At 40.8% G+C, this 24,814-nt stretch overlaps 1 long non-coding RNA gene across 1 annotated transcript in view; it reads left to right on the top strand.

Moving 5' to 3' along the window:
• The first annotated feature begins 7,572 nt into the window (after positions 1–7,572).
• Positions 7,573–24,814, top strand: part of LOC105378740 (uncharacterized) — a 71,267-nt gene continuing 54,025 nt past the window's right edge. Inside the window, exon 1 of the long non-coding RNA XR_947380.3 lies at positions 7,573–7,786. This is a non-coding gene — a long non-coding RNA (uncharacterized LOC105378740). The remainder of the gene's footprint in view (positions 7,787–24,814) is intronic.

Genomic DNA, 24,814 nt, shown 5'->3' with positions numbered 1-24,814 from the left:
GTTTCTCTTATCAATTCTACCTGGATAGCCCTTCCAAACAGGCCTTTCAAATGACTTTTCATTTCAGAGAAACCTTCTTAGTTTCACTCTCTTCCTTCAGGAATGCCTATCTGCATGTTTTCCCGTATCTCTCCTCAAGCCTTTGCATCTTCGTGTACTATTTTCTACTGCTGAAATCCTCAAATCTACCACAAGAAAGGCTTACTATATTTATCTTCATACAGTGGCTCCACACAGAATCCCTAGGATTTTTATTGGACTAGATAAAAAAATCCTTTCTTATCCCCAGATACTTCTCATACCAGAAAATGTACCCCTTCTTTCAAAGGTCTTAAGATTTATCTATATTCTTGTCTTGCCATTGGGTTTCACTGGTGTACAAGTGAGCTGTTTGGATCATGTTTAGTCTTTGCCTATACAGCTTCATTTCTGTTCCCTAGCTCTTGTGTTTATCCTTCTTATTGTCTCAGGGCTCCGCTGATTTTTCCTGGAATTACTTTCAAGCTTGGTGGTGGTCTCTTCCCCCATGTCCCTAAAGAGAAGGGGTTTTGAACACTTCATCTTGTTATTACTGGGAAAATTCTTGCCACTAGTTGTGATCACATTCGTAGTTAATCACTCAGACCCTAGACAATAGTAAAAGTGTCTAAATACAGATTTCTAACTCTAACACGCTACCAGTCATGTGAAACAGTCATTTATATAATCCTTTCTATTGACTTCATTTCTCCACTTTTCACAGATCTTAGCAGTGTGGGGCTGCCAACAATGTTGGAAGGATATTTAACTGTCTCAACTTAGATTTGGGATGATAATTCTGATGTCCTTGAGTCCGTTGGGCTAATTTTTTTAACCAGAAGTAGAGATCTCTTTAAAGTTTTTCCTCAACTAAATTGACTTGGGAAGAATGAATAAACTTAACCACTTACATCTTTGCCTTAACTATAGAGAGATTCACTGGTAATGGAATATGACCTAGTCTTAACAATAAATTAAGCTTTCACATTTGGTATCCCAACCGTATTCTAATATCCCACAAACTAGCTTTAAAATGTTCTGTGTTCAGGACCTTGCTCTCAGGATTTTAAGTAACTACTGGGGTTGGAGGAGTCTGCAGTAACCCTAAATCTGTTGGCTATGCTAGATTGGCCTTCAGAGGCCAGATGAGGACCGCCACCTCCTGGGCAGAAGCCAGAACGATGCCCACAAAAAGTGATACTAGCTTTAATTCCAACAGCATCTAACTCTTACGAACCTGCAGGTTTTGGTCCCACTTTGAGGATCCCACCAAGGAAGCAGGGCTGCAACACAAACAGGATATATTTATCTTTCAGATGGAAGTAGTAAGAAATGGAGTACAGAAGTTGGACCAGACTGGCTAGCGTGTGGGACTGAGGAAGCAGGACAATCTGTAGGTTCTATGCCTCTGGCAGGATCCCAAAAACAAATTGCATTGTTTTATCTATGTAATGTGAAATCACTTAGAAACTGGCCTCTGACCAAAGGCTACTCAAAGCACTGTAACAGCCTTCAGCAGGGTTTCTCCCTCTTGAGGAGCTGGGCAGAAAATACAAAGTCTTCAGATTATCTATATTCATGATACCATCACATTTGACCTGAGTCATATTCTAAAGTTACACTAACGCATGAAGGAGACCATAAAATTCCAGATAACTCAAACTGAAATGTAACTGTTTGTTCTTACTTTACCAGGGATCTTGAGAGGGATGAAGGATACAAGTAGGGTAGGAGTTACTTGCTGTGACCGGAAGCCCTCGTTATAGGGCAAGTTTCCTATTTTAGGCTTTCCTGTTGGGGCAGAAAGGCTTGGCATAGAGGTGATGGCTACTAGAGGATTCATTGTTTTCCACTCTGGAGTCCAAGTCAAATAGAAAGTTTCCTTAGGGCCACTGTCTTATTTTCTTCCCCTTTTCACTTTAAGCAAACAAAACTTGTTCTCTGGCCAATTTTCATAAGGAATTGTTTTATTCCAATTACAGTCAACAGGATCCTAGGGATTTGTAGACAAGCTTGACCAGTGGATCAATCTCACAACATAGGAATGTTAGCTACAATTTGACTAAAAACCTATCTTTAGGAGGATATGGCTTTCTCCTAGGGATGTTTTTGCTTCCTAGTAATCTGGTCAGCTTTGTGCAGTAGTTCTGGGTATGTGGTAGTTCTTGGCATGGGGGAGCCTTGACTGTAGGAAATATTCCATATGGCTAGTCTCAAAAGCTTGTCCTCCTCCAGATACCAATCTCAGGTGCATGTGGCTTAGCCACTTTTGCTATCAGGGCGTTTTGGCATAAAAAGTTAAAGGAAGATCTTACAACTGATTCTGAATCACAGAAAAGCAGATACAACAAGGAGAGAAAGCCACTACCCAAAATCTCCTGCTAGCTTCCTTGCTGTGAGGCAACAGCGTCTGGCAGTATCAGTAAGTGAAAAACCAAAGTTGCCTGTCTTGGGAAAGCTATATTTCAGTGAATGTTGTGAAAAACTTAAGGGTAGATGATTGCACTGGCTGAAAAGCATGTGGCCTGGCATCTGTATTCCTGTCACTCTACAACAGTCTGGATTCAGATAGTGAGAAAGGGCCAGGTAGACCTGCAAACAACATACATACTGGCTTTGGGTACTTCTGAGTACTTTGGATCAGTGAGTGGCAACTTTCCACCCAGGTATGTATCCATTGTCTTCAGACAGTTAAGCTTACTGGCATGGGGGCTGCCATCCAAATGCTGTTCCTTGTGGGGCTGGGTTGAACTTGAGTCTTTGGCTGAGAAGACAAATGTGCCCGTATTCCATCCTGCTTCCTGTTCCCTGCTCACATCTGCATCTTCCAGGTTATCAAGGACTTTCTTATTACTACTTTCCTTACTCTCTAAGCCAAATCTCTGCTTACATTCATCTTTTTAGATGCTATTTATCTTGTTCTCCTTTTCTACTCAAAGCTGTTATAAGAAAGTGCTTTTATAGGGGGCAGCTGTAATGTAAAGCCTTCTCCTACATTTTAAAGCTTAAATTAGTCTCTAAAACAGATCTCCCAAAAAGACAATTTCTCAACAAAAATGTTAATGCTGAAGCCTCTTGAATTTCCTCCCACATCAGCTGCCATGTGTATAACTTACTGTTTTTTTAATGGATTTTAACCCAATCACTGCATACAAATGAGTGCCAGCCACAAACTTGACCTTGAGTCCAGGTACTATCTAGATGAAACCAGGAACAGGTTTTCCAGAGAATTACTGATACAGTAAGAAGACCTGTTCCTTTCATGCCTATGGATAAAAATCCACAAATCTCTACTGAAGAAAGACGTGTCACATTTCATCACAGGCCTGAGCTCTGTATTGATAGAGACAATCTAACTTGTTGGGCACAAACTCCGCATACTAAAAATTGTTCATTTATTTTGCAAAGGCTCAGACTGCCTGACATATGTAGCTGGTTCTCCTTTTCTTTTAGATCTCAAAATTGCTGCTACTTATGCCTAATCTCTGCTTTATTACTCAGGTTTTAACATTTCTCATAATGTTTCTTTACATAAGTTTTCTCTCTGAAGGGGGACCGCTTTTAACTTATGGCTAGAAAGCAGCCTGACATTATTTTTGTCTTCTCTGGAAATGAACTAGGATCTCTGTGGCTGCCTTGAGAGCCAGCCCATCTGTCTCTGACCCCAAGGAAGCCAATCAAAGTCTCCTTCCCCACTGGGACCCATGCAGCCCTCTTGTCTAGTTATTCTTTGGTTCTCAGGCATCTTAATCCTTATCAGTGAGAAATGTCATGTAAGTCTTGAGGTAGAGCCTATATAATACCTACAGGCTTTAATAACAAAGATGTTCTGGGTATTAGTTAGAATGTAGGACAAGTTAGTCAGCGCAGAACTCCAGGCTTCCCTTCTTTGCTTACTGTCACCCATCTTCAGCATTATCAGCTCTTGAAAACTTCTATTCTGGTGGGTGTGTACTAGTATAGCATCATGAGTTTGTTTAGGTTTTTCTCTGCATTTTATGGTTAAGACATATAAAGTCTACCTAGCCAGCATTAGGTGTTAAGAGAAAATAACATACTTAGCTCAAGTAGGAGAAATATAAAAATGCTTTAGTGACATATGGTATTTAAAGAATTTTTAAAGGAACACTTTGACCATATGAAAGGTGAGCCTTTTAACCATATAGTTTTCTCTAACTCTTAGACCTAGATTTACAAGATAATGCGTAAGCAAGACTTCAACACACCTTTCAAAGCATGGCTCTATGACAAACTTATTCTGCAAATGCCATGCTTAGCTATGTCACTTGAATACAGACGATTAATTATTGATTTAAGTAAGTCTTTAAGACTTAGGACACTGTCAATAGGTAAGAGTAGTCGCAAACCATTCCATAGACTACATCTGTAGTATGATGATAAAGAATACTTACAGCCTTGTTTGCCTCATCCTGTTACGTTCTAAGGACACTGCTGAAACTGCGGTCAAGTTCCTTCAGCAGTCAGCCCATTGCCAGAGTAATACTAGCACAGAGACTGAAGTTTCCTTAGCAAGATGCACAAGGCTCCTTCTTAAGCTCTAACACCTGGTCTCTTTCTGTGACCATTGTTCTTAAGTGGTCTGAAGTCCTGGTTGGTTTCTGTTTATTTTAGGGAGTGGAGGGCAGGTTTTCTCTTAGAAATTTTTGCCTTTGGCAGAGTTGCAGGGTCATTAGCATAGTGTTCATGTCTCTGGGATAAGAATGGCCTCAACCATGCAGTCTGAGGACTTCTAGTAGTCTTGTCAATAAACTAATCAATTTTATCAATAGTGGCAGACTGAATGGTGCCTCTTAAAGAGCTACCAACAGTTACTATGATGTAAATGCAATCCTCTTTTTCAGTTGTTTCTTGCAGGTTTGCCTGCAAGTTGATTTTTACAGGCTTACTGGCATGACTTTCTCTGCCTTGCTAGAAGAACAATTGATATTTTTAATCTTCAAAATTTAGGTATCTAATGGTTTGCCATGTGTTTATAAAAACTTTCAGTTCTTACTAAAATTTTGGATCACTTATGCCCATGGTGTGAGATTAACATATGAGTTACTGGATCCTAAGCATAGGCTGGTGGGTATACATAGGTGTATTTATCCCACTGGAAGCCCCATACATGTCTTGAATATAAGACAAAATGCTGCAATTGCATTTACTTTGAATCATAATCGTATGATGTTACAATCATAAAGATTCTCTCATGCAGATGCTGAATACAATTCATAAATGTCCTCTGACCCCTTAACTACATCTTATGTTGCCAATATACCCTGACTGTGCTCACTGAAAATGAGTAGCCATCCTAAGACAATGACGTTTCTTAGTGTACAACTATTCTCCATTTATGCACATCTGCTTCATCTCAGTCCATTCTCTACCCTTCTGCCTTGCTCTGTTCCAGTAGGCTATGTTCTATAAACTATACTTCACAAATGTATAGTCTGCTATCCCTGCCTATATACTTATCAAGTAAAAATGAATAACTTAGAACTGAAATTAGCAATATTTTTCAGGTTAGATAAAATGCTTAGCTTTCCTAGGTAGATAAAATGCTTAGCTTTCCTAGGTAGCTAAATATAGAATGGGAAGACCTGGTAGGCACCTCTATTAATAAGCAAAACTGGCACCATGGAGGAATGAACTTCTGTCCTGGGGCACCTTGAAGCAGAGGTCACAATTCATCCCTATCTTTCTAGTTGAACCAGCTTTGGGACTTCTTACTATGCTTTCTCCCTGAAAGGCCTTCATGTGGCCTTTTCCTTAAATAGCTGGCTGAGTAGGCAGAGAATAGGCAGTTGTAAACATCTGTCAGAGTTCATCCCAGGTGGGCATACAAATAGGACTCCAACGTCTGACTGAAATAGGCACACAAAGCCTGCATATGTGGCTGGAAGCACTTCATGTGGGTCCTGTCTGTCTTGCTGGGACACCTGTATCCCTCAGTTCAATACTTTTCTTGATCTAAGTCTTCAGGGTCCTGCTGGCTAATTTGTCTTCCCCAACCCCTGCCAGAAGGAAGACAATGGCTTTAACCTAAGAAGCATAATATTTGGCAGTCAGTCACTCAGATCATAGAATCAGTGGCTGGCAAAGGATGTTAATCCAAGTCCTATGTAAGAACTTTAGGCACACTTGCTCTAAGAATCACTAATGAGAAGCCTTATGCTTCCTAAGTTTCAATTCAAAAAAATCACATGGCACAAGTATATATTGGCTTATGTGTTTGATTGCTACCTGAAAGATTCTTAAAGCTTGCACATAAGTTAATGGTAAAAAAAACTAATGGCTACCACTGCCCCTATGAATAGCACAATCTTGAACTTGCCACCAGAGAAAAGCAAATATCCAGGACATTACTTGCTAGTTAAGTGAGTCTGTCACAGGAGAGGGCCGTGCCCTGCAAGTGAAGGCATGGAGGCCTGGAATTTGCATCTATAGTGAGTTTTCCTGCATATATGTATGCTATTGTCTAAGGGCTATGTTCACTGTTATACCTTCAAAGTGTTGTCTAAAGGCAACTGGTACATCTGAACCCTTTGCAGAACAGCATATTGGTTATTTATACCAATGATATCATATAACTGGCCCAGATGAACAAGAAGTAGCAAGTATATCATAGGTACTCCAGAGGGGGAGAGTCAAAATCCACAGACTCATGGGCTGTCACTTTAGAAAAATTTTAGGAGTCCAAGAGTTGTGGGGCATACCAGGACATACACCAGAGTAAAGGACACATCCTTTACTCTGGAAGCATGACAGCTAATATGTCTCTTCAGGTTCCGGAGGCAGCATATGCCACCTTTGGGAGTAATGTTCTGACTTATGTACCAGATGACACGAGAGGCTGCCAGCTTTATACCCAGAGTTGGAAAGGGCCCTGCTACTTGGGCCATACGACCTAGCATATCCCATGGTGGTAGAAGTGCCTATGATGAAGGTGTCATGCACAGCTTATGCTGTATTCTAATTCCCAATATAGATCTGTGTTATAGCAAGGGCATGCCTTCTGTGACAGAATTATATACCTTAGAAAAAAATAGCTTCCAGTGGGTATTGGAACAAAAGACCTGGGAGATATCACTGTAGTAAGTAGCTGTAAGCCACTCTATGGATGACCCTCTTCTACAGTTTATTAGGAGATAAAATACACAGAAAATAAGTATAGACTTCAACCGCTCTGTGGCAATTCTTCGAAATTCCTGGTCTGAGGCAAACTGACCTCCTTCATTTTTGAAATGCACCTTCTACTTAACTCATCTAGTCTCTGAATAATTTTTCTCATTACTTAACAAATAGCAATTTCCATACAGTTGACTTGCTTATTTCTTAAATCCTGACTTAGCCACACATTCTTGTTCATCAGCCAATAAAGTAGAAACTACTAACATCTCCCACAAGATTAAATACCTCTTGCAGTGTCTTTTCTAGCTCTTGGCAACCTAGGAGTCCTTGAGACTGAAAACTGTCATCATAAAACAGCTAAGGGTTCCAGGTAAATATCAATTGTTTTTTGCAACATTTGGAGCCTGAACTACATGGTCAACATGGCAAGACTAAGCTTTTATATCTCTGAAAAGCAGCTCCTCTGAGTACAACAGCATTTTCAGGAATGCAAGCACAGCCTGCAGTCAAGCATGCCTTCAGAACTCAGACTCCTAGCTCATGGGATTAGGGAGAAGATCAGCTCATCCTGGCAACTGGCTGTTGCTCCCCTCCTAGGATGGCATGGCCACGCTGAACCCTAGCCCTATACAGGGTGAGTCTCACATTTTACTCCTGAGGACTTCAATGTTGCTTGTCCTAGGCCTTTCCTAGATGACTTATTCTTTTACCAGCGTCTTAAGCTGGTAACTTCTGTCTTGTCTGTTTTACCACCTTAAGTTGCTTCTGCCCCATGTTCATGGAACCTACTCTGCTGTGAAAGTGAGTGAGCTTGCAGAAGAAGTTGGAAGGAATAAGTCACTCACAGCAAAATACTTTGCTAAATTGCTACAAAAGAAGGTAACCTCTGATATCCCTCTTCTCTTGCCCTCCTAACTGGGACATTAGTCTACTTCTGACACTATCAGAATATCCTGCTTGTGGGAGAAGGGGATATCTATCTTCCATCCCTGGGACTAGGCGCTCTGTCTATCCACCATTGTCAGAGAACCCTCTTGCCAATGGTGCCCCTTTTCCACTGCAGCCTCCCTTCCCTCTGCATCTGAGTTGAGTAAACCCTTTAATTACTTGAGCATTGGCTCTTTTGGTGTGTTTTTGACCCTTAAGGAAAAGAGCTGCAGACTTGGCAGTGGACCAAGTTGAGCCACAGCATAGACCTTCTGACTGCCCTTTGGGGAGGGCACTTTGTAAGATCCTTAGAGATTCGTTCTTTAGCCATCCTTTTTGAGGGCCCTAATCTTCGCTTCTGAGCTGCTTGTCTCTGACCTCTGGCTTGGAGAACAATGAGAATGATTAAGTTTTAAGCCTTGAAAATCTGCATTTTTCTGTTGTAAAAAGTATTCATGGCTTTTTCCCCAATAAGAAGGGCTCGGTGGAGGTGTTACCTCTACAACTCCAAGAATGCTACATGTACAGGGTTGTATGTATCCTGGATTCCACTCCTGTGTGAGTCTGAGTTGTATGAAGCCTGGCACCTAAATTGTATATCAGGTTTACTTAATACCAAGATCTAGTCAAGCATGTGCTACAATAACAAGCTGGTCAAGTAGTTTAGAAATCATTGGTAAATGTCATGCTGAAAGACTTCTGAGAGGTTGATTCTATGTTTCAGTCTCTTACGTACTCAAGAACTACTCCTTTAACATTTTTATGGGTAGAAATACGGGATCAAACTAGTAAGGAAGTTATGCATGAGAAGGATCTGGAAAAAGAGCTGCAACAAGCCTAACTATCCCCCAGACAGTCCTGCTTTACAAACTATTAAATGATGGTTCTAAGTATATTTAAGTTTTTTTAATTGAGAAGGAATATTAGAAACTTTAATATCATAGTGCTGATTATAGAATAAAAGAACATCAAATGTTTACTAGTGCCTTTCAAAATAGTCATAACTCTATAACAGATTAAATACTGAAATTAAAATCCTTCTATATACAGAAACCAAACTGTCTGGATCTTGCCGTATCTCTGGTCAATTCTCAGCATCTTTAAGTGATATTTTTTTATCCAGTATGTATTTAACCCAAACCTGTTTCCCAGTGATACTGCTCTCTTGGCCTTACTACTAACTATACTAATAGAAAGACTGAGTCAAAAGAAGCATGGAAGAACATACAGGGGATTGAAAAATGCTTTAATGATAGTTACCTCTACACTACAGGGTAGCTGATGGCATTATCTGTGCCTGGCACTGTTAGAGAAAAAAAAATTCAAGCACCACACTCAAATTAAGATAATTCAATGACGATTTTCCTACAAATGGGCAAAATTGCAAACAATATAACAACCCAGAGCTAGTAGCAACAAAAGCATCATCACCCAAAACTCAAAGAGGAGAAAGCATTGCATGCTAGAATCTAGAAGGCAGGAGTAGGCTACCTTGTGAGAAAGTGACCCTCTGTTAATAGACAGAGCTCACTAGAGGAAGCAAAAGGAAGGGTTGCCCTGAAATTCCCTTCTCTACTGTCTTACTGAGACTCCCATTTGGCCCAATCCAGACATCTCAGTAGTCCTGTAACATCTCTTATGCATGTTTGCCTCCTGAGAACAGAAAGCAGAATACAAAGGAGAAAGGAGAAAATATCCAACTAGGTACACACTACTTTCTGATATTACAAGTCTCACAAAGTTAAGTAAAATTTTCAAGCATATATTTTGATCCTCTTCAAGATAACCGTATGAATGGACTGCAAATAATGCTTTAAAAAGCTCATCTGCTTTTTCTGCAACCTGCTTTTCCAATTGTCTTACCTTTAATATACATTGTATCTGATGTTTTTTATATCCCATGGAAATTAGTTTCAAAGAATCCTATAACCCACCTGCCTGAATGTTTGACATGCTCAAATTTTGACACTTCTCATCCCCAAGTGTTGTATTCAGCAAAAGCGAAGACTTGACTTTGATACCATGAAGTTCTCTCCTATGCTTTTGTTCTCCACTGTTTTCATCATATACAAAGGATTTTCTTATCTCTTCCCTCTATGGCTCTACTTTCCATGATGTCTTCTACATTGTTTGCCAAAGCCTGCTTCACACCTGACATGCCTGCTTTATCTCATAAAGACTTAGCACAATACATATCATGGTACATGTTGGCATGTGGTGGGTTGGAGATGGCTTTAGTACTGTAGGATCAGCCTGAGTCGGCATGTTCCCCCAGTATAGCTCATGCCAGTTAGTTAAGCACATGTAATAGGAGTCACATGGGAATCCTGAACCTCTGAAATCTACATTGGTGACTGTCTTTGCGCAGGGCAAGGCAAGAGTGGAGGAACAAAAACCAATCAACCCTAAAGCTGTCTGGCAGCAATTCTTATAACAAATGAAAAGGTGATATCATTTACATATAAACCACTACTTGAATTTTGAGGTACCTGGTAAAACTAAGAATGCTTTCCTCCCCAAGTTATGTTGTAAAATTAGATCACATGTTGCAAACTAAGATTTTGGTTCCTTCACCCTTTCTCCCTCAATACAGGACATCAACTAACAGTGACCCAAGCCTTGTGTTTTCAGAGTGGAGGTGGCTATGTCTTATTCTAGAATTCTATGGACCATTGAAAGAAAAATAACTTGCTGTAGGTAAATATTGCTCAGAATCAGCTAAGAGCTCTCACTTAGTCCTGTAGTTCTGATACCTTGATCTGTTAAGGTTAATAACTGGGAAATACCCAAAATCCAATCTAGAATCACTTCCAACTTATATATAACCACAATAAGTCCTGACAGAAGTTGAGACTGGCTATGCAGAACTGGAAAACAGCACACTTCTGTCAGAGGGAAGCTTCTTTTGCCTATGGTAGTTCAGAAGGGCTACTTTTATCCAGTCTCCTGTTCCTTGGGGCCTATCTTGAAATGACTCTTTTCAACCAGGTTTAAAGCTAGTATTGCCACATGACTCTGATTTTACTTTCTGTGGGAGCCAATACAACATTGGTTGGGTTAAAGCATCTTTCGGGTCTTCACTGGGGTTGATAAAGTTCAGAGGTAGAATGCTCAGTCGGGACCTCCAAGAAAACACATGAAGAAATTTGAAAATTCTTTCACCAGCTCTGAAGTTTGGTTTATAAATCTGCACTAGACCCTAGACGGAGTTAGTACAAAATGTTTCTTAGGTTAACAGCTATGAATGGTAAAGGCGGAAGGTGTAGGATTAGGCAGGGAAAGCATGTGGATGTCTATGTAGGTTTGGCACCTACTGAAGGAGCTGCAGGCAGCCCAACAAGAAGCTCCAGCAGAAAGATTGCTCACAGAAGAATATTTGAGTGGAAATGGCCAGGCCCTGATTTCCAGGCCGTGCTCAGTTATTGGATAGGAGCTTCTGGGAGGAGCATGGCCTCAGTTGGAACACTGCAGCAGATCAGAGCTTGCAGCTAGGGGTCAGCTCTGTCTTGAGGGGAGCTCTGAGGAGTGTACCACCGTGGCTGCCACATGAGCAGCCAACAGCTGAATTATGGAGGACATGCCACGATCATTCTGATGCTGGTTTGTTAATAACTGAGTGTGTTAAATTGAGCAAAGCAACCAGATGACATGATTTCTTCGCACAGGTCTAGAATGACCAAAGAAACTTCTAAACTGAATGTGGAGTTTATCCCCAACAAAGCCAACCTGAGGGAGGAGGACCAGTTAGTCAAAAATTCTGTTCATGTTATCCTTCATTGGATTGAAAGAGCCAAGCTTTTATAAAGTCCTTGGCTTAGGCTATAGAAGCAGGCTGATTCTGAAAGAGTTTGACCTCAGGTGGAACAGTTCTCTGAAGCTGAGTTGGACCCTAAAAGGAGCTGACAGCTGAAGTCTGTCTTCTACCCTCTCTAGCTGGAAGAAAGTTTCCTCGAGGGAGGGGATCTGGACAGTGCATTTTTGTGTCTGGTACAGCCAGTTTCTTATCTGTAGGTAAGACCGAGTTACTCTGTTCTTTGGGGCTGCTTAGAGAAAGATATCCTAGGCATCCTACCAATGGCCCAGAATAATACAACCTACATCCATCCCGAGCCTGATGGCATCCAGGGAAAGTCAGTGCTAAGGCCTTATAGTAGTTAGGCTTCAACTACACAAGAAGGCAGCCATAACTTGGCAAAAGTGTACCCTGTAGTATTGTGACTGACTAGTATAAGCGGTTGTCTACCGTGAGTAGTGATGTTAAAAGGAGAATGCCCAAAGCTGGAATATTATACCCAAAGCTGGGTATTAGAAATCGTTAGAGTATCAGCCCTCAAGTTTGGGTGCGTGGGATATAGACTCTTGGCGTGTATATAAAGGATGACTGAATATGTGGGTGTGTTTAGCTACAGATAATGAAGCTGCTCAGAGTATAGTTATTGGGGGGATATACTGAGGCTTCAGCCTCCTCAGGACTAAATGCTTTACTCTCCATTGAAAATGCCATTAGGAGCCAGTCAATTCATATGGTCTAACAATAATTGAATGTGACCGTCTGGAATACTTAGAATCTTTCAGAAATGTCACCTGCATAGACCTTTCCCAGGCTGCCTTCTGCCTTCTCATGTCTCTCAATTGTATGCTTGACCTACTTTTCATTCTAGAGTATCACTCAGTTAAAAACTAAAGTGACACTTGGCTATGATAAACCTCTTATAAGTCATGGCCACTGAAAAGTTTGCCTTGCAATCAATAGTTCTGATTTCAGTAAAAAGTTTGAGGTTGAACCATGATCCTCGTATTAGAAGGATGTGTGTGTTTAGAATTGCAAGTGGTAACAACCAGAAAAGATAAAATTTGTCATTAAGTCTCCTAATCCTCTTTGACAATTTGTAGATCAGTGAACAGGTACTAGCCAAGCCCTATACAGTATTCAAATATTTTCTGCCCATTATAGGCTCTTTTCTACATGCCATATTTTTTCTAATTGCCAGGTCCTGTTGTATAAGAAGAAGATAACCAACTAATGGGGCCTACTATACTTCAGACTCCATTGTAGGCTCTGGTGATACTTGATGAATGCAAGAGAAATATTCTTGCTATCAAGAAACTTATTCCAATGTAGCATGAATGTAAGCAAATTCACTAGTCTATGTGAAAACGATCATACTATAAAAAGGGACCAAAATAAAGGGGTCAGGTGTGCCCAGGGTACAAGGATATAATTCTTAGGGTAGTCAGGGTTGAAATCACCAAAAGTGAGTCAGTAAAAATTTAGAGGTTAAGGAGTAAGCAGATAGCTAACAGGAGGAGGCAGCCATGAGCCAGATTCTGCTGGGAACTTCCTCAGGGGCATGTGGAGCAACTCTACCAAATTCCCAAAAGATGAGAGGCAAGAGGACTTAGACATCAGTTTGTCTCCTATTAGCTGAGATTTGTCTCCACCTGTTAACTTTCAATGTAGTATATAAACAAAATTTTCAGGAGTTTGGAATTGGTTTTTCTGACTCAAGCTTTCAAATTTCTTTACTAGACAAATAAATGCCTGTCATCCTTCCATTTGAGAAATTTAGCCACCTTGAGGCTGGTGCCTAAAGGGAACATGCTGGTTGATTATTCCTTTGACTATTTACTCCTCAGTTAGATAATCCTTCAGATCTGACTTCTAAGGCAGACTAGCAAACAGATGCTTTTCTACTTCAACTTAAGTGTAATAAGCATGCAGAAAAGGATGCAAATACTCAGTTGACTGAATTATCAAGTGCTGCTTCTCTTTTCTGCAGCGACTTTTGGAGGCCTCTGATCTTTTGAGACAGAGACAAGCCTCCTACTTCCCCACTTTGACTCTGTACCTTTCCCTTCAGCTCATCCAGTCTGTTTTGCTTTACCTGGCTAGAGCAGCTGTCAGTACCTAAATTATGGCTTTCCATCATATCTCTGAACTAGAGAGATCCCCACACTCTGCACAAAAGTACTAGAGGAACTTCTTCCCTGTTCTGACTTGGTGATCTATGTCCATGCCAAGAATTAAGGGTTTGTGGGGATCACATCATCCTGGGTATTAGCACACTTTGATAGCTGACTGTGTGCTTCCCCACCCCCCCCACACCCCGTTCCATCCCTCACTTTAAGTCCAGGTATTTCCTTAAGACAGAAGCTTCTAAGTCTCAAGTTTCCATTTTACTACTTAAGTTTTACTCCTTGAGTTTATTGTCATTATGGCATAAGGTTGTATTCACTTTCTGATACCAGCCAATTAAGCAAGAACCAATTTTTAAATAAGAATCTTTCTACCCGAAACAGACAGAAGCCCACTGGGGCAGCCAGGCTTCACACTTGACATGACAGTGCTTCATTTGAGTATGAAAATGTGAGAAGAGCCATAGTTTCTCTGGGCCTGCTAGAGTCCAGCCTGAGTGTTGAACCTGCCTCAGCCCCTGCCTAGGGTGGAGTGAGGTGGGTCACACCAAGTCAGGCTGAGGACAAGCTGAGGCAGTTGGTGCTGAAATATGATGGCAGTGGTCAGTCTCTTTTTGAGCAGGGTACTGGAGGACACGGAAGGCAGGAGGTCTAAGAATCTGGGAGGCATGTGAATTCCTACCATATAATCACCAAAAGGGTTTTACATCAAGCTAATAAAGGTATCATATCCTCATATATTCCTGAAGTAGTATAGAAATTCATCTGATACACACAGGTTCCTTTTGGTCATAAACCTTATAATTAGTGAGTACTAAATTCTCTCTAATATTATAGAATCGAAGCTAAAAGTAATTCTAAGGGTCACGGCAATTCCAGGCTTTTAGTGTAAAACCTGAGCAGGGCATATACCAATGTTTGAAGAAACCTAGATTTGTGGGCCAACTGAACAGACACCAATGCTTACCTGCACAAAAGGTGACTGAGTCAAGACTTGGTGAATATGTATATCTTCACTCAAATCCAGATAGAGCATGAGATCAGCTAGGTGATCTTGGAATCATTTCTTGCTGGGTCTGGTAGAGAAAAAGACAAGCCCTCAAATGTGCTTTTCATTCTATAGTCGTACCTGGCAGGAACCTGGAAGAGAAACCTGCCTCCTGGAGGCCATCTCTCCTGTCTTCATCTGCAACTGCCAGCATAGAAGATTGTACTCTAGGAATCACCAGCATGGGCACCAAAGGACAAACTCCTACATATTTAACTCTGCTACTCTTAGCTTACCAATGTGTGTCAGTCTAGGTCTTTCTGAAAAGACACCAAAATAGAATTGGACATATTAGAAAATGGCCCTTAAATGATAAGGTAGTAGAAGGTGGGAGAGCCTTCAGAATGGTCATGAAGGTTTATACCTATTAGGAAGAGTGGGAGAAGGCAGAAGCATTGAGTAGAAAGAACCTCTAACTGAGCTACAGCTCAATCTCACACAGGCCACTGTGGAGCCCTACAGCAGAATTCTGTATGGGGCAGGCCTAAGACTTAGACTGGGAGCAACCTGGGAAGAATATGGCCTTGACATGAACATGGAAGTAGATCCTGAAGGTATGGAAGCTAGAGGCCATCTACACACCTCCATGGGTGACACAATCAGTATTGAAATGGATATGGCCAGGCGCGGTGGCTCATGCCTCTAATCCCAGCACTTTGGGAGGCTGAAGTGGGCTGATCACCTGAGGTCAGGAGTTCAAGACAACCCTGGCCAACATGGTGAAACCCTGTCTTTGCTAAAAATATAAAAATTAGCTGGGCATGATGGTGGCTGCCTGTAATCCCAGCTACTCGGGAGGCTGAGGTGGGAGAATCGCTTGAACCCAGGAGGCTGAGGTTGCAGTGAGCCGAGACTGTGCCACTGCACTCCAGCCTGGGTGACAGAGCAAGACTCTGTCTCCCAAAAAAAAAAAAAAAAGAATAGATAATTGTTTGCTTGGTTTTAAACCAAGAAAAAAACAAATAGGTTTCATTTCAGGGACCAATGGTAGATGCCACTTAGAACAACATTGGGATCTCAATATATTATTCTATGAATCAAGACTGTTGGGTTGAATTATCAACGCACATTCTCAGAGAAATTCAGGATCAGTGCTTTCCAAATCCATGATTTGCTTTGCCTGTTCTGGAGACTTTCTTTCTCAAGCTGTGTCCCTCAAATTAATGAAGAGAATTAGACTTGCAAAGCAGTTTCAACTCTTATCTAAACACTGTTATTAGGCAATCACTTAGATTTTATGTTGACTCTTTCTTGCCATATCTTAGAACTGGCTATACAAATTTCATGTAGAAACGTAAATTTTAACATTTTAACTGTATAGCACAGTAGCAGAATATACAAAGAATATTAGTACTCATGCTTAGTTTTCACTGAATTTTATACTGGCCAAATCTGATAATTTGAATGTGATGTTCTTTATCTTTTTTTTTTTTTTTTTTGAGATAGAGTCTCACTCTGTCACCCAGGCTGGAGTGCAGTGGCGCAATCTTGGCTCACTGTGTTCTTTATCTTAATGTATGTTATACTTACACATAATGTATGTTATGTATTCAAAAAATCCAAATTCTCTTTACAATAGACATTGTGTATGCATCTATTTAACATGGTTAGGTAATATGGTATACCTGATAAGTTATCTTCATTTAGGCCCATTCTAATTATAACATCTGACTGAATGGCACTTAATACCTATAAGCACATCAGTGTGACTGCTGGAAATTCATAGTATTAAGGATAATATCCACACTGATAAGGCCATTTATAGGTAATACATTCAATGTGTTAGCAATTTTTGAAGAATTTATCAATTACATGAACTCAATTTTTCCACTTCTGAAAATTTAGATTTGGCAGAATATAGGGTTGTCACTATACATGACATTGGAGAAGGGCCAAACCTTTCTAGAGTTAGCAGATACGTTTTATATTCTGGTCTCCCTGCAGATTATAAGCATCTATATTGAAGAAATGAAGTTGTTTTGACTCATTTCTGAGCATTCCAAAATATCCAGGGTGGCTTTAAGTAAAAGGAAGACCTTGACTTAGGCTCAAGTTCCATAGTTTCTTGTCTTGTCCCTTTAGCAGCAAAGTTCTATTCTGGATAGAGGGACATGTACTAGCTCCATTCAAATCCAGGCTGTTGGATAGCTGGAATTTTGGCAAGCTGCAATACACCCTAAGTAATTTAGACGTATAGGGTCTTAAGAGATCATGGAACCTTAGTGGTAGCAGACCACAATTCTAATACAGTCATATTAGCCTACGGAATAAAAGATTATAGTGAAGAAGACCAAATAGAATATTCCAAAGCTCACCCTCTAATGGTTAAGACAGAAAATAAAATATTTATGCCCTGAAAAGAAATGACATTACTGTCAAAATTAAATTCCACTATTTCATCACATCTCCACTAAATCAGTCTGACCACTACAAAAGTCAGGATCCTGGAAAGATCCAGGAGAAATGAAGTGGACACTATAATCTTGAAGTATATGAGGTATCTGCTATACAGGTTTATACAGCCTCAGGGATACATTAGCATACACGTATAGTCCCAGGGCGATCTCCACTACTATATCTGCAGTCAAAATGTTGTCTGAAGGGACCTGGTATACCTGGACACCGCAGAATATCACATTAGTTATCTATATCAATGATATCATATAATTGGCCCAGATAAACAAGCAGTAAATCTGTCATAGGAACTCCAAAGTGTGAGAATTAAAACCTATGAAGACACATGGGTCTGTCACTTCACTGAAGTTTTTAGCAGTCCAGGAATTGTGGGACATACCAGGACATCCCCCCAGAGTAAAGGACATCCTTACATTGAAGAAAGAATGAAGGCTGACATGTCTCTTCAGGATCTGAAGGCAGCATATGCTACCCTTGAGAGTAACTTTCTGACCTACATATTGGATGACACAAGAGGCTGCCAGCTTTGAATGACAGAATTGGAAAGGGCCCTGCTGCTTGGACCGTACAACCTAGAAGATCCTATGGCATTAGAAGTGTCAGTGATGGCAGAAAAATATCATGTAGAGTTTATGGCATGTTCTAATAAAAATCCAACATAGATCTGTGTTACAGCAAGGGTATGCCTTCCATAGCAGAGAACTGTATACTATTAAAAAATAGCTCCTGGCATGCTATTGGACCCGCTAAAGATGAAGCATCTTATATTGAATGCTGAGGGACCCCTAGAACTGCCCATCCCACATGGGTTTCTATCAGACTCACCAAGTAATAAGTTCAGGTAGGCCCAGCAGTAATCCATCAAAAAATGGAACACACAGTTGAACACAAGGAAACCATAGTACACAATTATTTGGCTCAGACCACCATGTCATTCACAAACATTCTACTGATAGCACTTACTCCACTCACACCTATGGACATGTAGAGGATTTCTTATGACCAATTGACAGAAGTAAAAAAAAAGCTTGTCTCCATATGGGTCATCCCATATGGAGGTATAAGCAAAAAAGGACTGCTACTATACTATAGCTCAACTCATAACTTGAGAGAGAAATCATCCCAATGGGCAGAACATTGAGTAGCACATGTAGACATACTTAGTGGGGAAAAATACGTAATTTACAACATACACAGAATCATGGACAGTAGTGACTTGGCTAGCTGGTGAGGGACCTAAAACAACAAGTATTGGAAGATAAGTGTGAAGAAGGTCTGGGGAAGAGGCACATGGACATACTTACAAGAGTGGACACCACGAAGACTTTCCTATGACATGTTAATATCCACTATAGAATGCTTTCCACAGAGAATATTTACAATAAAGTATACAGAACGGCTCTTTCACTTGACATCACTGCTTTCCTAATAAGTCCATGAGTAGAATAGCTAGTGACAGAAATTAAGTCTATGCATGGGCCCCAAACCATCGGCTCCCATTCACCAAAGCTATTCTAACAACTGGTACCACAAAATACACAAATTACAAGCAACTAAAACATTCTGAACCTCTGAATATGGCACCACCTGTAGAGACCTGCTGGTCATTTGGTAGTTTGTTTTATATGAATAGACACATACTCCAGGTAAAGGTTTGCCTTTCCTGCCAGAAGGGTCTTGACTATTACCACCTATCTAAGGCCCATAGAATGTTGGTCCAGTGACAAAATAATGGAACAAGGGATTCACATTACAGCAAACTAGGCTGGCCATGAGCACATGACCATGGGGCTTACTGGTACTATTCCATATGGAACACCCAGAGCTCCAGGCTAGATGAAATGATAGAATAGCCTGTTGTTAAAAGTACAGCCAAGATGACAGCTTAAAGATGATCATCCTGGGAGGATTCTTAATCATATAGTAGGATATAACCTAAATTGATAACCATATAATGATTCTATATCACCAATAGCAAAAATACATGGAGGCTAGGAATGGAAAAGAGTGGCTCTACTTCTATCATTTCCTGTGACCAACTTTGGTAACCTGTCTCCAGTCTGAAACCCTGTGGTCTTGGTTCAGAGGCTCTTGTTACTAGAAGGCCAATCTTTCATTAGGGGACACAGTAAGAATCTCACTGTATATCAAGCAACGGCTGTCATCTAGTAACTTCAGTGCCCTTGTGCTTTGAGTCCAATTTGGGACATGCCTTCAATGCTCTGCCAAGCAGTTTACAACTCTGCCTTAGCCATAGCTCCTGCTCATGCAGAGCCTCAAGGCTAGTTGGAAATTCAGACCTTTTTGGGTCCTCCTGAGAATGCATACAACTCTTAGCGTGTGCATAGTTCTGAACATGTGTGTCACCTTCTAGATTCTCAGGAATATGTTGGAGCTTTCTTAAACTCTTTATGAGCATGTCATTTCCCAACTCCTTAAGTTTGGCCAGCTGCTTGATTACCCCAACTGTTATCACTACTACAGATGTTAAATGATATTTTTGATAAATGCCCTAGGGAAAAAGCTGTTTGCAAAGATTAAGCTAAGTCAGGTTCAATAAAGACAATTCCTATGATTGAAGATTTCCAGGAAATTGCCAGATAGATCAAATAATTATAGTCTAGAAACTGGTCTCTTTGGGAAGAAGCCAATCCCATTTTGCCCCTTCAGTGCTAGGCTATTTTTTCTGGCAACCATGATTATGAAGTTCTTGGTTTACTACACTACCCTGGATCTTGGGGAAAGGAAATGGAAACAGGACATGTCAAAGCATGAGTCTGCTGTTCTTACAAGATTCAGCTGTTCACGCCTATAATCTCAGCACTTTGGGAGGCCGAGGTGGGCGGATCACGAGGTCGGGAGATCGAGACCATCCTGGCTAACACGGTGAAACCCCATCTCTACTAAAAATACAAAAAACTAGGCGTGGTGGTGGGCGCCCGTAGTCCCACCTACTAAGGAGGCTGAGGCAGGAGAATGGCGTGAACCCGGGAGGCAGAGCTTGCAGTGAGCCGAGATCATGCCACTGCACTCTGGCCTTTGTGACAGAGCGAGACTCTGTCTCAAAAAAAAAAAAAAAAAGAAAAGAAAAACAGCTGAATTAATTTGACTTAATACTTCTCAGATTCTTGCTGGTTTTCTTAAACACTCCTCAAATTGTTGCAGATTTTGATTTCCAGAGTTCTTAGAGTTGATTTTGACTTTTTTTTTTTTTTTTTTTTTGACGGAGTCTCACTCTGTTGCCCAGGCCGGAGGGCAGTGGTGCAATCTCGGCTCACTGCAAGGTTCGACTCCCAGGTTCACGCCATTCTCCTGCCTCAACCTCCCGAGTAGCTGGGACTACAGGCGCCCGCTACCACGCCCGGCTAATTTTTTGTATTTTTAGTAGAGACGGGGTTTCATCGTGTTAGCCAGGATGGTCTCGATCTCCCTACCTTGTGATGCGCCCGCCTCAGCCTCCCAAAGTGCTGGGATTACAGGAGTGAGCCACCGCGCCCAGCCGATCTTGACAATTTTTTGCGAGTGTTATTACTTTTGATAAGGTCTGGATTTTTCATAGGTCCTTACTCTGCCGTTCTGGAAGTGTTATGCCAATGAAATAAATTTTTAAAGACTTAAGCAAATGGAGAGAGAGACCATGCTCATTCATCGAAAGACTCAACATTAAGTTCTCAGTTCTCCCCAAAGTGACCTATGAATTCTATGCAATCTCAGTCATACTCCTCTAGGCTCTTTAAGTAAAAATAAATATGCTTATTTAAAAATGCACATGGAAATCCAAAGGACCTAAAATATCCAAAACAATCTTAAAACTTGGACTCAACTGAGTTCAAGTCTTACTATAAATCTGTTGTGATCAGGATAGTGTGGCACTGACATAAGAATAAACAGGTCAAAGTTAAGACATTCGTCCGTACTTAATGGTAACTTTATATCTTTGTCAAAAGTCATCTTTTTAGTAAGTGGTGCTGGAAATCATCAGACATCCACTTAGAAAAAATAAACCTCAACCCCCACCCCATGTCACATCGTACAGAAAACTTAGTTCCAGATGGATTATACAACTAAACTTAAAATTACAATGCATCTAGAAAACCTAAGATCTTTACACTTGGAGATAGGAAGGATTGTTTTTTTAAAAAAGGATAACAGAATGAAATCCTATAAAAATACAACACATCAAAATCGGACATTCTCACCAAAAAAGATCATTAAGAAAATAGTCATGGTATAAATCAGGAGAAAATATTTACCAAACGTATGTCTGACAAAGAACTCATATCCAGAACACCAAAATAAATTCCCAAATTTAACAATAAAAAGACAGCTCAAACTCAGCAAAATATTTGAATGGAGACTTCTCAAAGACAGCCACAGAAATAGCCAGTGAAGTGATCTCCACATGGCAGAAGAGAAGGTTTCCGACTTACTCCCCCACCAACAGATGCACCAAATAAACATCCATTCACAGATCCAGGCCCTCTGAAAAAAAGTCAGAAATGAGTTGAAGCTGGCCGGGCACACTGACTCACGCCTGTAATCCCAGCACTTCAGGAGGCAGAAGCAGAGGGATCACTTGAGGTCAGGAGTTCAAGACCAGCCTGGACAACATGGTGAAACCCTGTCTCTACTAAAAATACAAAAATTAGCTAGGCATGGTGGCATGTTCCTGTAATCCCACCTACTCGGGAGGCTGAGGCAGGAGAATCGCTGGAGCCTGGGAGGTGAAGTTTATGGTGAGCCAAGACTGCACCACTGTACTCCACCCTGGGCAACAGAGCAAGGCTCCATCTTAAAAAAATAAATAAATAAAAATAAAAATAAAAAATTGCAGCTTCTATGTACCAGTCAGCTGAGAAAGTGAGAAAGTATTCACATCAAATGAGTAGAAAATAAAGCACACTCAGGTATGGACCCTGTGCCAGGGAGTATGCCATGCAATCACAAGAGTTCCCAACACCCAGCTTCTCCCTTAGGAGGGTTTGGAACACATTTATAATGCTCTAAGGCTCCCCACAGTTTGCATCTTCTCTCACCAACTCAGAGTAAAGAGTATACATGAGTCTCTCTAGATCATAGAAAGTGGCAGTCTTATGCAGGTATGCAAGCACTTCCAGTGGCTTCATCCCTCGGGATAAGGGTAGAGAAGGGGCTAAAACTCAAAGGTCTGTTTCTCTGGAAGAAACTTGCCAGCATGCTCTGCCAACTGCTACTGTTGGCAGCTTAGTCTGTATCAGGGAGTTAATAGATTCGATAAATAGTAGGTTTCTGGCAGCCTGAGCTGCCTCAGTACTTCTTGAGCTATCTCCGCAAGTTCACCCACGTGATAACTCGAGGTTTACTAACTCCTCCTTGAAGGAGCTTGTCCACACATCAAGAAACCCAGCTTTTACAGCTTACACCCAAAGGACTATATCTTAAACCTCTAAGCTCTGGAAGTAGAGAAGACTGGGAATGTGCAAGTCTCCCCAGATCACAAAATGAAGGGGTGGTTTTAAATGGGTGCACAAGCACTCCCATGAGCAGTACAGAGAAGGGGCTAAAAAAGCAGTTTCATGCTTCTCCCCAGAAGGGATTGACAGTGCACTCTTCCAGTGGTGACTTGACTGCCTGGCTTCTCATTAACCTGCATTAGGGCACTAAATGTGCAGACAAAAAATAGACCTGGTGTCCTGAACAGGAGCTCAGCATTTGCTGAGCCTTCTCTAGCTTGTCCCAGTGATAAATCCAGGTCTTCTCATCCTTTCTAGAAAAAGCATATATGTGCACTGAGTGCCACAACTTCCGTAACTTTCACTAAAGGAGGGACTGCTTTAACAACCTAGCTGTGGAAACCGTTGGGGCTCTGTATTTCCAAGTCTTCCTAAACTGCAGAAAACAAAGGTGGACATAAAGTGAGCCCACTTCCAGTGGCTATCTCAAGATCAAAGGGAAAAGTCTGAATGTGAGTACAGGCTTTTGCCACCGATTCTCTCCTCAACTTAGTGCAGAGACAGTAGGAGGTAAATATCTGGTCCCAGCTTCACCATGAGTATAGAAGGAACTAGAACATCTAATACCCCAATCTTTTCAGCTACATCTAGAGGGTCTGGCTTCAAATTTAACTGTCTCTTCTGACAGGACATGGCACATCCTGATCTCCTGGGGGCCACAGAAAAAGTTTGGACAAACACTAAGATTTGAGAGGCAATTTAAAACCTCTGGCAAGGTTAATTAGTGAGATTCTTCTCAATAAGTCCACTCTGACAATATTGGGATAAGCAGTTATCTAAAAGAGAACATACGGTAAATGCTTCATGACATTGGTCTGGGCAGTGACTTCTTGGATGTGACCCCAAAAGCACAGGCAGCAAAAGCGAAAATAGAATATGGGATTGCAAAAAACTAAAGCTTCTACACAGAAAAAGACAATGAAGGAAAAACCCACTGATCAGAAGAAACTACTTGCAAATAATAGGATAAGGGGCTAATATCCAAAACACTAATCTGAAACTATGCAATAACAAAAATAACCCTTTTTAAAAATGGGCAAATAATCTGAATAGACACTTCTCAAAAGACATACAACTTGTCATATGTGAAAACATGCTCGACATCCTTAATCCAGGAAATGCAAATTAAAACCAGGAGATCACCTTATACCTGTTAGAATGGCTGTCATCAAAAAGATAAAGTGGCTAGGGTGCAGAAAAAGGAACCCTCATACACTGGAAATGTAAACTAATATAGCCATTTTAGAAAACAGTATGGCAGTTCCTGAAACTAAAAATAGAATTACCATATGATCTAGCAGTCCTGACTTGGTATATATCCAAAGGAATTGATCAGTATGTCGAAGATCTGCACTCCCACATCCGCTGCCACATGATTCACAATAGCCAATGTATGGAAACAGCCAAAGTGCCTATCAATGGGTAAATGGCCAAATAGTTGTATATATACACTACAATACCACTCAGTCTTTAAAAAGAGAATTGCCATTGACAACAGCTGGATAAACATAGAGGACATTGTGCTAAGTGAAAAAGCCAGGCACAGAAAGACAAATACCACATGATCTCACTTATTTCAAATCTGAAGGTCAAACTCGTAGAAGTACAGAGTATAGAATAGTGGTTGAGAGGGGCTGAGCAGGGGTGGTAGATGGAGAGATGGAAGATGATGGTGGTCAAAGGGTACAAAGTTGTTAGGAAGAAGTTCTGGTGATCTATTGCACAGCATAATGACTACAGTTACTAATATATCATATTTCAAAACTCTCATCAAAAAGAAATGTGTATAGTGATATAATTAGCCTGACTATAGGCTATTATAGCCTGATATTATATATTTAGCCCATAAATACAATTGTCAACT

The sequence above is a fragment of the Homo sapiens genome, chromosome 1 (genome assembly GCF_000001405.40).
Source record: "Homo sapiens chromosome 1, GRCh38.p14 Primary Assembly".
Taxonomy (NCBI): Eukaryota; Metazoa; Chordata; class Mammalia; order Primates; family Hominidae; genus Homo; species Homo sapiens.
This window is presented reverse-complemented; position numbering and strand designations above follow the sequence as displayed.